General features: G+C 33.0%; 1 protein-coding gene across 29 annotated transcripts in view; it reads right to left on the bottom strand.

Annotated features, from left to right (window-relative positions):
• The window catches only part of PPIP5K2 (diphosphoinositol pentakisphosphate kinase 2), a 92499-nt gene that overhangs the window by 11813 nt on the left and 62925 nt on the right, over nucleotides 1-17761 (bottom strand). For 4 of the 29 annotated variants that reach the window (XM_005277534.3, NM_001276277.3, XM_005277535.3 and 1 more), the window contains 6 exons: nucleotides 17580-17753; nucleotides 16243-16315; nucleotides 14548-14667; nucleotides 13611-13673; nucleotides 10005-10145; nucleotides 5962-6087 (listed from right to left, as the gene is read on the bottom strand). In XM_005277534.3, the coding sequence (XP_005277591.1) occupies nucleotides 5962-6087; nucleotides 10005-10145; nucleotides 13611-13673; nucleotides 14548-14667; nucleotides 16243-16315; nucleotides 17580-17753 (697 nt within the window). Of the gene's footprint in view, nucleotides 1-5961; nucleotides 6088-10004; nucleotides 10146-11760; nucleotides 11821-13610; nucleotides 13674-14547; nucleotides 14668-16242; nucleotides 16316-17579; nucleotides 17754-17761 lie in introns of all 29 variants that reach the window. The other 25 variants (NM_001345872.2, NM_001345871.2, XM_047417008.1 and 22 more) reach the window with 8 other exon arrangements.

Here is a 17761-nt window from a genome sequence, read left to right as displayed (position 1 = left end):
GTGTCTAAACCAACATGAAGTCTTCATGAATTATCAAAAAACTATTCTAGGCCAGGCAGGGTGATTCATGCCTGTAATCCCAACACTTTGGAGGGCCAACGTGGGAGGATCGCTTGAGCCCAGAAGTTCAAGACGAGCCCTGGCAACATAGTGAGACCCCCTTCTCTACAAAAAACTTTAAAAATTAGCTGGGTGTGGTGGCACACACTTATAGTCTCAGCTACTCAGGAGGCCAACGTAGGAAGATTGCTTGAGCCTGATAGGTTGAGGCTGCAGTGAGCCATGATTGCACCACTGCAGTCCAGCTTGGGTAACAGAACAAGACATTGTCTCAAAAGAATAAATAAATAAATAAATAAATAAATAAATAAAATAAAAAACCATTCTAGGTGGCATTACATTATTACATTTCTACTATGGATGAATAGATGTATGGGTAAGCTTCTATCAGACCAATCTTCCCACAGATAACAAATATACACTCTGTACTAAATATGAGGAAGAACTACCTGAAGATACTAAATAGTGAACAAGAGCAGGCCGTTACTAGATAAGAATCAGCACTTGGAAAAAGGGAATAATATGGAATAACATTCCCCTTCTTTTTAGCCTGAGGACAGGCCCTAATATGCACCATGTACAATGGCTACAAGTCCAACATAAGAAGCAGAAGACAAGTATTGCAGCAACTACAGCTGCTAGAAAGTAAGGTGGAAAATCTCAAAAAGGATGAGCCCACAATTCTATTTGTAAATGATGGTCAAATGTATGGCATGAGCAGAGTAAAGTCCAAGGAGCCCAGCTAAAGCAAAAAATGAACTGAAATTTTTGCCAGCCACTTCACGGAACACCATATTTTACAATCTGAGCTCAGCCAAGGCTAACTCTTTGTTTAAAAACAAACAAAACAATATTTTTTGGAGGAACATAACAGAAATAACAAAATCCAGAGTTTCTATAACATACCATTCACAATGTCTACAATATAATCCAAAATTAATATACTAAGAAACAGAAAAACATCTTTCCTGCTGAGAATGCATAAATTGATACAGATCACTTTGGAGATGAGTCAGATTAACAGACAAGAATTTTAAAGCAGCAATTCTAACTATGCTCTAGGACAAAGAAACATAAGTTTATAACGAATAAAAAGAGAAAAATCCCTGCAAAAAAACTATTTAAAAGAATCAAACAGAACATCTAAAAGAATAAATATCTGAAATAAAAGGTCTGAAATAAAAACTAGATGGGTTTAACAACAGAATGAAAAGTAGAAGTAAAAGTAAACAACAACCAAATCAACCAAATCAACATCAACCAATGAACATCTTTTTTGGAGTATTACCAAAAAAGAAAAAAAAAAATAGACATAAATATGCCTTAGTCAACCTGCTGAAAAGCAAAGATAAAGAGAAAACATTGAAAGCAAGCACAGAAAAACAACCCATTGCATTTATGTGGACAGTAATTCAAATTAACTAAGTCTTCTTATCAGAAACAATGGTAACCAGAAGACAGTGGAATATCATTAAAGTGCTGAAATAAAAAATTTTCTACCCAGAATTCTCTATTCAGCAAAAATTACACTGCAAGAATGAAGGCAAAATAAAGCCATTTTTCAGACACAAAAAAATGAATAGAATTTGTTGCCAACAGACCTGCAGATTAAGAAATGCTAAAAAACTTCAGGCTGAAGGCAAACGAAACCAGATGGAAACACAGACTTCAAGGAAGGAATAGAGAGCAAAAAATATGGCAAATATATGGATAAATATAGAATCTTTTTCTCCTCTAAGTTTCTTTAAAATACATATGACTGTTTAAAGCAAATATCATAACACTGTATTGTAGTGTTTATAATATATGTGGAAGTAACACATAAGGATAACTATGTGTAAAGAATGGGAAGAGGGTAAGGTAAATGAATCTATACAGTGGCAAGGCTTCTACATTTTACTTTCAGTGGTACAAAATTAACCCTAAGTAGATGGTGAAAAATTAGGAATATATATTTAGAGCAACAAAAAAAAATGCAAAAAGATACAGCAAAAGTCCATAGAAAAAGTTAAATAAAATTCTTAAAAATATTGAATTAGTACAAAATGAGGTAGAGTAGGAAAGAATAAAGGTATAATAATCAAAAGGAATAAACAGAAAACATAAGAAAGTAGTAGACTAACCTCAACATATCAACAATTACATTAAATGTTAATGAACTGTAAACTGCAACCATAAGGCAGATATTGTTAGAATGCCTTGCATAAATAAAGTTTGTTGAGCTATATCACATCAGACAAAATAAAACAAAACATTACTGGAAATTAAAGAGAAAAAAGTCATGATAATAAATGAGTCAATTTATTAAGAATATCCAATAATCAAATATGCATCTAATTATGTAACAGAGCTCCAAAACACAAAAAGCAAAAATCTACCAAATTAAAGGGAGAAACAGACAATTCTGCAGTTGTGAGTGTAATCGCTCTCTGTACAACTGATAGCACAATCAATCCCTTCCTTGAACACCCCTCTGCCAAAGAAAAACCAAATAGTAAAGACAGACTATCTGAACATTATCAACAACCTTCACCTCATGCATAATGATAAAATAGTGTCCATTAGGATCAATGAACTATAAGATAAACATTTGGGTTTTTTTTTTAGTACACAAATTATATTCAAAATATTCCAGATGTTAAGCCATAAGTCCCACATTTAAAAGACTGAAATCACACAGTGTATGTTTTTATAACTGCAATGGAACTAAATAAGAAATTGATTAAAAACAATAAAAAAACCCTGAATATTTGGAATTTAACCAATATACTTCTAAATATGCAATGGATCAAAGAAGAAATCACAAATAAACTAGAAAGTATTTCTAACTGAATGATAATGAAAATACAATATAACTTTTGTGAGACTCAACTAAAATGCTTAGAGGGAAACTTAAAGGTTTAAATGTTTGAAATAGATAACAATCAATGACCTAAGAAACTAGAAATAGAGGATAAAAGTAAACCCAAAGTAAGTAGGATGTAGAAAATAATTTTTAAAATAATTAAAATAATTAATTTAAAATAATTTTTTAAAAATTGTGTTTTAAGGCTGGGTGCGGTGGCTCACACCTGTAATCCCAGGACTTTGGGAGGTTGAGGCAGGCGAATCACCTGAGGTCAGGAGTTCGAGACCAGCCTGGCCAACATGGTGAAACTCCATCTCTACTAAAAACACAAAAAAATTAGCCAGGCGTGGTGGCAGTCACCTGTAATCCCAGCTACTTAGGAGGCCGAGACAGGAGAATCGCTTGAACCCGGGAGGTGGAGGTTGCAGTGAGCTGAGATCACACCACTGCACTCCAGCCTGGGCAACAGAGGGAGACTCCGTCTCAAAAAAAAAAAAAAAAAAAAAAAATTTGTGTTTTAAACATAAAACCAACAGAAATACAAAGAGCCAAAAGTTGGTTCTTTGAAAAAGTAAACAAAATTGATAAATCCCTAGTGAGAATGATCACAAAAAAAAAGTAGAACACAAATTACCAGTAACATGAATAACAGAAGTTATTACCACATTCATTAAAAAGATAATAAAAGAGCAACAATTTGACAACTTAGATAAAATGAACAAATTCATAAAAAAATACAGCTACCAAAAGTATCACAAAAAGGAAACATAAATTCTATCAAAATTAATTGATATAAAATTAATTCTATCAAACATTCAAGGAAGAAACAAAAATCTTATAAAAACTCTTTCAGAAAATAGAAAGCACTTCCCAATTATTTTATGAAGCTAGCATTACTCTGATACCAAAACCTGGAAAAAGGCATTACAAAAACAGAAACAAAAAAAACTACAGACCAGTATCCTATCTTTCACAAACGCAGATGCAAATTTCTTCAAAATCAAATTTAACTATCTTTTGTCAGCATTTTTCTATCTTAACTTCGTGGCACATCTGATTGTACTGTCGATCCTTCCTGAAATGCTCTCTTACCCTGACTTCCAAGATATTACTCTATCATGATATTCTTTCTGTTTCTCTGATCCTTCTACTTTCCTGGTTGATGATCCTTCTTTTTCCCACTTTCTTATCCCAGACAGTGACATGCTACTCTGTTCATTTGTCTTACCCTATGTTTTTTTCCTCAGAGAATTTTATAGACCTTCATATATATAATATATCATAACTGAGTAGAGTTCATCCTAAGGATGCAAGGTTGACTTAACATTTGAAATGTCAAATATAACACCATTTTTAGTTTATTACTTAAAAATGTATATGAACTAATGCATTTATTATGTGTCTAAAGAACAATGTACTATGAGTCAAAATGCATTCAAATCCTAGGTCTACTGACTACTAGCTATGTAAGCTGGGATTAAGTTACTATCTCTGTTACTTTTTTCATCTGTAATGGACATAAGAATGGTATTGACCTCTAAAGGTTATGGTGAGAACTATGAGAATTAATAGAAAAATGCTTATAATATAAAGAACTATACAAATGTTAGCTTTGTGTGGCATATGGGATGCATCACAACTTATGTTTAAGATACTTATTCAATTGTCTGTTGTTTCACATACTTATTAGTTGGAATGTGCAAGGTTCAAATCTGTAAGATTTGTGGTTTAAGATATTGCCTCTGACTTATAAGGCCTTGTAATCTGATAGAGTTATAATCTGGTATAATAGAACAAATCAGTAGCACAGAGTGTTATTGAAGTTCTTGTTTTGATAATCATATAAATACATTATCAGTGGAAGAGGTTGGGTTGAGTCTTCAAGGACGTGAGGTAAAAGGGAAAACATTTTAATAGAAAAAAATGGCATGAATGCTAAGGGAATTTATTTGGGGAGAAGTAAAGAGAACACTGGATACAGTATAATAATTAATAGCAGTTACCATTTAGTAAGTGTTTACAATGTGTGCCAAGTACTTTATATACAAGATTGCAATCATTTCTGACAGTTATATGAAGAAGGTACTATTAACCCGATTTTATGACTATAAGACTAAGGATCAGAGAGGTTAAGTAACTTGTCCAGAGTCACATAGCTAATAAGTAGCAGAACTGAGATTTTAATCTAGGTTTCTCTGACTGTTAAGCACAAACTCTTAACCAAAAGAACATTTGAGAGCACTAGAGGAAAAGAATGAAGACATCTGCAATGAGGCTGTTGTCAAAGCCTTGGAGGTATATGAAATTCTCTGAGGAAAAAAGATATATGGTAAGAAAAATGAATATCATGAGTATCATGTTCTTGTCTGGGATAAGAATGTAGAAAGAAGAAGGATGATCAAACAAGAAAAGTAGAGGAATAAGATAAATGGATAGAATATCACAATATAGTAATAGGGTAAGAGAGCATTTCAGGAAGGGTCAAAAATACAATTAAATGTGCCACATAATTAAAGTAGAAAAATGCTAATAAAAATTAATTTTGGTAGTCACATAGTCAGACTGAGAATGGAGAGATGAAAATATTATCAGGAAAGAGAAATTTTTTTTCTTTTTTTAATACTTGAGACAGGGTCTTGCTATGTTGTCTAGGCTGGACTTGAACTCCTGGGCTCAGGTAATCCTCATACCTCCACTTCCTGAGTAGCTGGGATTGCAGGTGGGCACCACTATGCCTGGCCTATAGAAATTTTCATGTAAGATGATGCCTTAAACTCAAAAGAAAGGCAAAAGAAGACAGTCCGTAAATTAGTTTGGGGAAAAGTGTGACTGTGAAATATATTTTGTTAACAGATGTGGGGAGAGGGGAAGACAACAGACAAAAAACAAATATATATCAATTGACTACAATAATCGATTTTTAACCCTTAGGATCATTACGCTCTAGGGAAGTGCAAAGATACTAATTAAAAACAAATTTGACATTTAAAAAGCAAGTTACTATTCCTCTAATTTCTGTGCAAATCCACAAACTCAACACACACACCCCTTACCTGGTTTGCTGCTTGCTTTAGTGCTCTTTAAGGTAGCTGGTGGTGTTGGGAGGATCTTTGCAGGTGTATACGTATTTAAAGATACTTTTTTTCTCATTATTGGACTGGAACGTAAAGCTGTAGAGGCTGAAAAAAAATAAACAAACATGTTAATTTAATAATTTCCTGCCAATTATCTCTTAACATCATAGAAAGTTTCTTATAATTTAGTGACCCTACGAATATTCATAATAACAGAAGAAAATGGTCAAGGTAAATTCAGCAAAATCACCTTTTTTTAATAAAAAGATAGTTCTGTTATGGCCTTAGACAAATAGATGTTTGTTTATACTGTAAATGATAAGCATTTAAATAGTATGCACCAAAGGAATGCCAAGAATAGAGCGACAGACTTTATCCTTTCCTTACAGAAACTGAGGTTTTTAAGGCATGGAAAAGAGCTAATGGCATAGTTTTCTTGCCTGGTAACAGAATCAGTAATCCCCTCACCAGGCGTGGTGTTTCATGCTGGAATTACAGGCATGAACCACCGTGCCTGCCCAGGGACTAGGAGGATAAATTTCAACTGGCTAATACAGAAAAATAATTTGACTTATTTATTACTTATAATTTAGTTAGGCAAGGCAGGAGGATCGCTTGACCCCAGGAGTTCAAGACCAGCCTGGGCAACACAGGGAGGCCTCATTTCTATTGAAAATTTAAAAATTAGCTGGGCCTGTGGTTCCAGCTACTCGGGAGGCTGAGGCAGAAGGACTGCTTGAGCCTGGAAGGTTGAGGCTGTAGTGTGCCATACTTGTGCCACTGCACTCCAGCCTGGGCGACAGAGCAAGACTCTGTCTCGGGGGGAAAAAAAACAAAGAGACAGAGTCTCAAACTGTTTTTGTCTTAAAAAAAAATAACAATTACAGATTCAGGGATGTTTCATCTACAAATATAATGGTATACTAAACTATCATATTTAGGAATAAACTAATTAAGTTATAAGTAATAAAAGATACTATTTTCCTATATTAGCCAGTTGAAATTTAACTAAATGAGAGGAAGGGAATTTTAAAGTTGAGTCTTTCCGGTTTTCTTTCTAACTAAGGCAGAGAAATTGAGAGGTGTAAAAAGGAGAAGTAGGGATAATTCTTAAGTATGGAATCCTCTGGGCAAGGACAGGCCAAAGTAGGGGAGAAGGAGACACTACTGGCATGAGCTTCTAGACTGCCTAAACAAAGGGAGAGGCAGCATGCTTTTGAAAACCAAGATGTGGGCTAGTTATGGCAAATGTGCCTTTGCTGGTTGACACCTACAATGAATGATTATTCATTTAACTGAAAGAGCTCAAAGTAGTCACTAATGAAAATAAAAAGTAGTCACTAATGGAAATAATCTAAGAGATAAAAAGTCCTTAAAACATCATAAAACAACCTAGCTTTACTTAGCCCTTTTCTGCTTGCATATTTTTACCCTACTCTATGAACTTCCATCACTAACTTATCCTAATTAATATACCTACTCCTTTTTCTCCAATCTGATATTGTCACTTCCCCATTGTAAGCTATCTTTTAGTATTAATATTTATTAATTTTGTGTTAGATGAGGAAAAAAACTTGGAAGGACAGACAATGATTAACAGTTCCTTTTCCCTTGTTATAAACACCACAAAATGAATATAATTGTATGTATATGATACTACAGCTTGATAACTCAGGGAACTAACTGTAAATAATATAAATATCCTATAATTTAATAAATAGTATTCCTACAGTTACTCTATAAAATACATGATTCAAAAACTTTCATCATAACTGGCACCCTATTTTCTTTGCTATTCAAAAATAATGAGAAAAATAGAGGCTTTAGAAGACCTGGATTTTAGTCTTGCTTGACCACTAATTTATTGATTTCCTCAACTGTGTCTTTCTACGATTTTTTCTTTAAATAGTAAAGCTGTTCTTAAGTGAAATCTTAAATAAAATAGACCAAAGGAGATACTCTGGTTGAAGCAGCCATGAAAGACACAAGCCCTAACTATTCAGCATCTTTCTCTTCCTCATGGAATTTCCAAAGACTCTTGGGAATACAGTTTGAAGACCAATGAACTAGATTATCTCTAAGGTTTATCCAATTCTATGAGCCACATTAAGTACATTTACTTTCTCATCTAGTTCTGTTAGTAACTAATTGCATGAAATTTTAAGAGAGCTAGAGGGACTGAGGTACAATTTGTATCCATGATATACAGAAGAGCTAATTAGAAATTAGCACAACTGGAAAAAGAATCTAATATCCTTTGCCTCATTAATATCCTTCAGTAATACACTCTGATGAACTGAATTCACTAACTACAAAATGAATCCATCAAGAGTACCACAGAACAAACCTTAAAATATTATCTTTTTGTAAATATTCTACTAAAATTATCCTTTCATAACAAACATGTCACTACTATTTCTATTACCTTCAAATCATTCATTGCAAGTCTTCTACAATCTAAATAGTGTTGAGATCTACCCCTAAACTCTTATTTACTAATTAGAATAATTCTTTAATCTCTATTTTAAGATTTCAAATCCTTGCCCCAGGGAAGCAATGAAACATCATTAAGGGTGAAGGGGTAAACTAGAATTTATTCAGGTTCTCTACTGCATTCTGAGGTAACAGCATTGTCCATTCTAGCAGGTTATAGAGAATATAAAAGGAGATTACCACCTTCATTTTCCTGTCTCTGACGTTTACCACTTGGAGAAGTTATTTCATTTGAAGTATTATCAATTCTCATAATCGGACACATTTATATGCAAATTTTTAAGTTAAGACCTACTTCCTAAAACCATCCCTAAAGTGAAGTATTTTAGAACACTCACCAGTATACATCTCTATTACTGTTAATGATTGAAAGCTGGCCTCTACTACCAAAAATGGAAGAAAAGGGAAAGGTCACTACTTTGTATAAATGCAGGGGGTATCATTTAGACAAAATATAAAGAGAATAGAGCTCTCTAGAATTATACGATGTGATGGCCCAGGAAAGAGAAGAGAATGACAGTCAGACATAAAAGTGGCATTCATTCCGAGAGCTCTAATATCTCATTTTATTATTGAGCAAAATTTATTTACAGCACTCAGAAAAAGAGGAATGATACACAAAGAAAGTTTGTCACTTTCTAAGATATGACTAGAATAGTAAGATTCTTAGCTCTAAGCAAAGCACTCTCTCCCAAAACTAACTCTTTCTAAACTGGAATTTCCAAAGTACTGAGGAATCCTATAGAGCTGAAAACGACAACTGGCAGCTGACTTCTCACACCTAAAAAGGAAGCCCTGAGCATTTCCCCAAATGATGTCCCTCAGAATAGAGCCACATGATATTTAATGTGTTACCATAAAAGTGTTTTCTAAAAAATAAGTTTTGGAAAATCTGGGTTATACAGCTTTCTTTACAGAAGAACGTCAGCCTTTTATATGCTAATGTAGCTATACCTCTCCAAAGGGAGGTGGGATATAACATAGTTTCTAAAACTTATTTAACCATGAACATCTTTTCTTCAAACACACAAATTAACCTCTTCAGAATGTTTTCTGAGATACACAATTTGAAAAATTGTTGTCCTAATTTGCTGTCTTTAGTTAAAAGCTCTTTCTAACTACTTACCAAAGGTAGTCAGGAGATGAGTGTGTATGAATGGGTTAATGTGGACTGATATTTTGCAGTTTTAAAAAACTTTGCTATAAAATGATATACAATAGGAATATGAGATTTCTAGCAAACATAGTTTTAACAAAAGACCACAACCCTATATTTTGTTGACTTCTACTGCTATTGGTTTTTTGTTTTTTGTTTTTTTTTGGTAAGAAGAAAAGATTTTGGCAGAGTAAAAAAAAGAGGTACAGTTCACATTACACCAAAGAATTCCTAATAATGTCCCTTTACACTCCCCTTTGTACTCCTACTCATTACCACTACCTGCTTTTATGTTGTTATAATTCCTGTTATACTCAGATAGTATGTAGTTGCCCAGCAACTAAATAATAACAATGAAAGAAAAATTTCCTACAAATTTCAGCGGTCTTCCGTGGAACGTCAGATGATGGAGAAGCAATGGAAGCAAGAAATTCATCCACTTGCTTTAAAGATAGGGCATTATGAAGAGTTTCTAGAGGACAAATAGATGGCACCATGGAATACAATTCAAAGCCTAGAAGAGAAAAAAACCAAAAACAAAAAATAAAAGATGGATATTTTAAAAATCAGTAATTAGAAAGGAAGACTACTGCTTAGAACTGGACAGTTTAGGTCTTTTCAGTCTATCACATGCAAACACACAATATCTCTGAAGTCATGACACCAGATGCTATGCAATATGGAGCTGGAACAAGATGTGACAAAGATTTCTTTTTAAATGTAATCACGTAGTATCGCATGCACACAATTTCATTCTATATTGGTAAAATCTAAGAATAATACTTTAAAAAACCTAGGGAAAAAAAAACAAAGAAATACAAGTTTTCAGTTTTTATTTTTTGAAGTCAGGTCTATTCAATAGGTGAATAAACTGATGCCACATGATGTATCCCTGATGCCAGGACGCTAACAGTAAGTTCTTGTTGAAAAATTATATAATTACTTGTGAATAATTATTTTAGATACTTTTCCAGGTGTGCCAAGACCAATGATACTCTCTAGTATGAACCCCAAACAACATTCATTCATTCATGCTGGAATAAAAATTCCAAAACGTATTTCACCTACCTTTACTGAATTAACACATAATTATATTACTAGGAATCACTGGCTGTGTAAAGTTAGGCCAAGTAAAAAGCAATACAAATACAAATATGTTCCTATTTAACAATGGCACAGAAATACGAAAATTTTATGAAACAATCATGCAAATATGTATTAATACCATCAGTGAAACAAAAGCACTTAAATACACAGTTTATGTTTTTAAACAAATAGGATATAGGTTATTCACTTTTTTAAAAAAGAAAATTGCCTGTTTATTTAAACTTCATTCAACTGAATGGCTTTTAAAATTGCTTTCATATACTGTTAAAAATAACGAGTCTTTCTGCATCTACTCTTCCAAAAATTCAAATTAATTTCCCGCAGTTAAATACTTATAATACTCAAAGTTTTATATAAAGTCAAATATCATTAAAAGTACAAAATTAACCTCAGACTGCAACATTCTGCTTCAATAGGCGTGTGCTCATTTTTAAATTGACTGATGTTTGATTCATTTAAATATTGAAGGAAATATTGACCCAAGAACTGCCTAATTCTCAGTTAGAATAAGGAAACTTTGGTTAAAAGAGAATCTAATCTTCCTAGGAAAATAACCAAAGGACTTGCAAAAGTGATATGTCTGATTTTCAGGTGCAAACCAAAGCATGACAGAACATTACACATACTTTAAAAACAAAAACAAAAACAAAACTATACTATAACAGCAACTAAAGCACCTAAATTAAGCACTAAAGAAATTAGGCTTGCACAACTGTTACATTTTTTAGAAGTACAAGATTCATGCAAATGAGCGCAAACCCTTTCTTTGCATTACACTAAACTTAACGATGAGATCTTTTCTTCTTTCCTCACAAAGTTTATAAATCTTTTATAGCAATTATTTTATTTCATTTGCCTGCTAGATTTTATAACAGGCAAATGACAATATAATTAAGTTCCTCTAGACTACATTTTTTTCCACTTATCTTTAATAAACTTTTCCTTTAATGCACAATGAAAGGGTTAGCGCAGCAATTTAAAAAGCCACCCTGCTGACATGTTTAGAAGCTATAAAAACATACCACTGGAGCCTAGAAATTCCACAGAGGAAACGGACCAGCACCTATAGAGGTGTAGGTGTTCTGCACAGAGGCCCAGAAAATAAGGTAAAGCACTGTCAGAAGATACTTGTTTCACCATGTTCCTTGAACTAAAGATGAAGGGAGGGGTAAGTCCATGATATGTGTTAAAGATGGAAATAACATGAAAGTTAGGGGAAATAAAAAGTAAAAGGAAGAGTCAAATGACAATTCATAGGACAGATAAGACAACACAATATTAAAAAAGGAAAAAAGGAAACCTTAAAACTCAAAAGAAATATTTGTAGAATAGAAAAGAATGCACCTTATGTGCATTTGTATGTGCGGAAAACCCACATTTTTAAAAAAGAGCCTAAACCAAAGGAATATAAAATTACTCTATTTTCTATTAAATTTAACATAAATATTTTTCATTTTTAAAAACCTTCAGTTAAACACAGATTCTCCTAGATAATAATACCTCAAATACTGGTTTTAAACACACAGCATTCAGTACAAAAACTATGGTCTTAAACCTGCAATGTCTCTTCTTAGAATTTTTGTGGCTTCTGTTTTTCTTGTGACTTCTGTGTTTCTTCTAAGAGGTTCTTAGGCATGCGGTTTCTTTAGAAGCTGCAGCTGTATCAAATAAGAATCACTTTCTTCAAAAAGTAGCATTTAAATAGCTACAATGAAGGGAAAGCACATTAAGCTTTAAGGCTAAATTTTTACTTGTTGAGGATGAGATCTTCTTATTCCACCTTCAAGAATTATTAGTGCACTGTTATTTAGATGTGTTGTTAAAGGATCCAGAAGGGGGAGAATGACCATAAACTTGTGTTGAATCCTTTAGCTTCATAAAAATTTCTGAAAGATCTGACTTGAGTTTTTGAAAGACTTACTTGCAGTTAAAAAGAAAAAGAGTTCCAGGGATAAAAGTATCTTCATTCCATGTATAATACAAGCAAAAATCTGTAAGTGCTCTTTTAAATTCTTTGATCCTGAATTATTGTAAAATGATCAGTAAATATTCCCTCTTGCCCCACAATATCAAGCTCTATGTTAGAAGTTGTAATGGCAATAATTCCTTTTACAATAATGGTCATGAAACACTTTCCTATTCAGCCTCAAAAATGGAATTTAACAGAGCTGGGTTTCTAGATCTTAACTTAATCTTCTTCCTATCAGGAGTCCTCTAAATTTTAAGAAAAAGCAGTGGTACTAAAAGGAATTAGTTGCTTGATAATAGCAAACCACATTGCTACACAAGAACAAAGTGAATGCTGGACAAAGTTTTCAGAGTGCTCCAGACCGAACAGGGTTTTGCTTTAGAAAAATAGCCAGGAACAGACGATGTTATACAGTGAAATATGCATCACCAGGTGCCCAGGAATTTTTCAAAGACACATCTTATTTGGCTATTTGACATGGGTGGCTCTGTATTTTTGTTTAAATATCTCAATAAAACAACCATGTGATCAGAAAATTAGGAAGAAAAAAGTTATTGAGAATTAAGAAAAATTAAAGAATACTAATTATAATTTAAAAATTTGTGTAGACTGATCATCTGAGAAATTAGATGAAATTTTCAGGTGTTAATTTAGCATTAAAACTCATCATCATTGTGGTCATTAAAAGTTTGATGAGTAATGTTAAATTATTATGTGAATTACAGCTGAAAAGGGAGCTAGACAGTATCAATAATTTGGGTGAATAACAAGTTGGAATTGTACGCCAATTGACATTAAGGATGAAGAAATGAATGATACTGTATACCCCACATTTTGAAATAAAATAAAAATAAAAAAGGGATGAAGCAGGGGAGTATCTTTTAAAATAAAAGCAAAACGTACCATTGGTTGGGTGTCGAGCAAATGAGATAGAAAACCTTTTAACAGCAGAACCGCGTGTGGCGTCTAAGAAAGAGAAAAACAGGTACCTGAAATTCGTAACAGCTACAAAAAGAACACTTAAAAGAAAGAGGGGAAAAACAAATATATGAGGAGGTTAGAAAGGTGACATGCAGAAGGGACAATGAGAGAATGTAATAAGGTAAATATTGGTTAAAAGAAGTTAACTAGCTTGATGACAGAGGAAAAGTGTCAAATGAAATATACAAAAGAAAGAAAAGCAAGATGAGCTGGCAATTCTGGTAAATCCATGTTTTACTGTCTAAAATAAATTTGTTGATAAATAAGAAAATGTTTTAAATAAAGACGATCCTGAAAGAGCTAGAGCCACTTCTCTTAACAAAAGGGACACGCTTCCATGAGCCTTAAAAAATTCTTAATATTAAAACTTAAGGTATATTAACAACATTAAGAGGATCTCCTTCAGCTAGTGATCCTAAAATATTCTCATCCTGTGTTTATTTTTATAAAAATATTGCCAATATGATATTGTCCTCTACTTATAAACATTCCACTCACTTTAATTAGCTCAATAAGTAAAATAAGTGTTAACAATAAATAAAAGTTTAAAAGATCAAAGAAACGCTTGCTCTTTATAATATAATCAATTATCTAAAAGAAGAATACACATAATACTCTTCTAAGTTTTCCATTTCAACAAACTTATTGTACAAGTACTGTAAATCTAACTACAATTAACTGTCTGATGAAACATGGATCCAAGTTGTAGATAACAGAGAGCACTGATAGTCATTTAGGCAAAAGATGACAGGATTTCACTCGAATCAGTCAGTGGCCTTAGATTTGCCTTTGAGAAATACTGCTCATGGGTGTGTGCATGGGTGTAGGTATGAATCTGTGTGTGCATGTGTGCACATACCATCTATGCAGCCAGAAGAGGTCAGCTTTTTACGATGAGTACGAGCATAATCCTGTAGGTTAGGTGCGCTTGAAGAACCCCCGAGCACCGAGGTGCTAAACAGGCCCGCACAGTGAGACCCTGATGGGAGTTAGAGAAAATACATACACAACGGGTGTTCTTCCATTCACATTGGGAATTCATGCAGCATGCAATTAACATGGCTCTTACCACATATAAGGCAACCTTTGGAAGTGCCTTGAACAGGCTCACAATATTCTTGTAATTTCCTAATGAGGTCAGTTTTAATACAATACTTCTAAACACCACTATCATTTATCATAGGTACAAATGGGGTAATTTAACATTGGACAAAATGTTATCTTTGAGAAAAAAAATATGTCCATATAATAATTAGACATATACATCCTAAAGTATTAAAAACACTGCCATAAAAATAACTTAGGACAAGAAAGGACTCTGTTAATCAATTTCCAAGGGCAAGCCATATTTAAAGAAAAAAAAAAAAACACTCCTTCTAGCACAAATTAAGTCATATAAAATCAGTATTTTTAATGTATGTCTATAAATGACAAATCTTTCCTGATGCCCCTGAATTGAGAATTACTACTCTTTCTTATGAAATAAAGTATATCAAAATTTATTTATTTGTGAGACCAGGTCCTTTTCAGTCATTCAAGGCCTAAATCACTTTAAATACTTAACAAGTGACTTAAGATCTTAATTAATAAGACTCCCAATGAAAAACATTATAAGCAAATAAAACAGCCAGTATAAACTGATGCTCAATTTGTAGCAAAAGTTTTTACATCCAAATAACACTTTCATCACTGGGGAAGGATTAAATAAATTTCTATAAAATATACTATGATACATCAATAAGAAGGAGTAATATATAAATTTCTATAAATATACTGTAGGAATATTAAAAACTATCATTACAAGCTATATGAAATTAAAGAGAGATCCTCAAGTATGTAGGTATCAACAGTTCATATACTTAGTACAGAGATCACAGTACATACATAAACTTACAACGAGATCTGTTTATGCCTTTATTAAACCTATTAGGACAACTATTTACAGAAAATAATACGCCACTATTTCATAGTTTATCAACCATGAGCTTCAAACCAAATGAGTTTAGAAAGGTCTTTTTCAATGTTGCTTTGAGTGTTAGCAAAGAACCAATTATGTTCTATAGGTTAATAAAGACTGAGACTGCCACTGTGCATTAGTTTTGCTTGGTTTTCCTTACGAGCTGCTCAAAGGAAAATTAATATATTCATATAGGGTTTGAAGTATTCTGTACTTTAAAAATATTTTTAACCAGAAAAATGGAAAGTCCCTTTCTGCATGCAATAGCATCTTTTCATCTTTATCAACTGGGAAAATGAAGTTTCCTTCATAAATTAACTTACAGAGTACAAGATTAAAAACTAGCATTGGCAAGTGAACTAAGTGGTTATCATTGCAGGCATCCAAAAGGGTTATGTAACAAAATTAAATGCTATCTCTTCTTCATTTTATCAAAACTTTATTTTGAGTTATACAACTCAACATTTCTGAATTAGTACACATTAAATAAAAACTACAGCATAGCATTTGGTCATGCTTTCACCAAAGAGTTTTACATGTGTGCACAATAGTGAGTTTAAGAAGGGTATGGAACACAATTTCCTTTACACCACATACCTACAGTAGGATTCTGCTTCTGTTCCACAAGAGTTCTTGGTGTTCTCAGGTAATTAGCATTTTCAGATACAACCTGCATAAGGAATCCAAAATAAATGAAGTAAAAGAGTAAAATAAATTCATAAGTCTATACTTCATATGCAGCCTGTTCCAGACAGACAAAGGTTAATAAGCTGTATGATAAATATTAGTAGAAATACATAAAACATGAAAGATCATGCAAGATCCCCTTTTGAAGGGAGTCCATTTCATGAGGTCCTTGCAATGAAGTGGTGCGAAGCAGGCATTCAGAATGAAACATCATGTATGAAACAAGACAGATGAAAAGAAGCAATTAAGAGATTGATATAATTTCACTCTTAAAAGAAGCCAAATGCCCACTCTTAAACAGCTCCTGTATTTGAAGGGGGAAAAAACAACTACAAACAAAAGAAAGGACAGACAGAGACTCTTGAGATCACCATACAATTATTGATCCATGCATGGGCTTTATCAGAGTAACCTTTAAATATTCACAGCCTTAATGGATACCATAATCCCTTTTCCTATAGTCAAATGCATTATATTTCCAAAAGGAAATTGCTGAAATTATCAGAAACCTCATGTGTGACAGTAGACCTTCCAATGTAATAGAAATCATATATATTTTAAGTTTCCAAATGTCATCACAGGAAGTCCTTCTGAAGTCATTTTATTTTGACCCATATTGTTGATGGGCACATATGCAATTGTTCCCTCTTAAAGAGAACATTAAAATATTAAACAGTCCAAAGAAAAACAGACTATGTATTCCTTAAATTAGATACTTCCAAATAATGGAATAATGAGGAAGAAAATTATCAATATTCGATATATCCTGCTAATTAAAACTGGGCCACATAAATTCTGATATTTTAAAAAATGTTTACCTTCTCAGCAAATTCCAAATTGAATCTAATTTTTTCAATTATGGAAGAAAATATTAATACATTTTCTTACAATCAAATTACATAATTTGTTTCTGAAAGTTTTAAAAGACAAGTCAAAAAAGATTTCTTTCATTTTTAAATAATTTTATTAACAAGGTGAAATTCCAGGAGAATAACATCTATTGATTGTTTTAAAATCCTGGATATTTGGAAACTTCTCAGTAAAAATACTAAACACATGCCATGTAAGTGATTTCTTTCCCTTGAATATTGGCAGATATCATTAAGTATTTTTAAATGAACTCAAAATTAAAAAACAGAAGGATTTACTCTGATGTGAAATACAAGGGATTAGATGTCCTCAAAGACAGCTGTTTGTTGCTCTGAATGCAGGGAGGAAAAATGTTTAATGAAGTAAAGTTTAAAAACCTGTTGCCATGAGCCAAAAATACTGGATGTGAAAGCCAATGATTTGGGGGAGACAGGGGAAGAAGTGATTTGTTCCCCTGATCTGCGTCTTCGACGCCCAGTACCCACACCACTGGTATAATGCAGCCAGGTACCAGTACCCTCTGGGCTAGACACACTCAGGGGGCTCTCTTCCTGGAAGT

This window comes from Homo sapiens, chromosome 5 (genome assembly GCF_000001405.40).
Source record: "Homo sapiens chromosome 5, GRCh38.p14 Primary Assembly".
Taxonomy (NCBI): Eukaryota; Metazoa; Chordata; class Mammalia; order Primates; family Hominidae; genus Homo; species Homo sapiens.
Note: the sequence above shows the minus strand (reverse complement) of the source record. Positions and strands in the feature narration are given on the sequence as shown.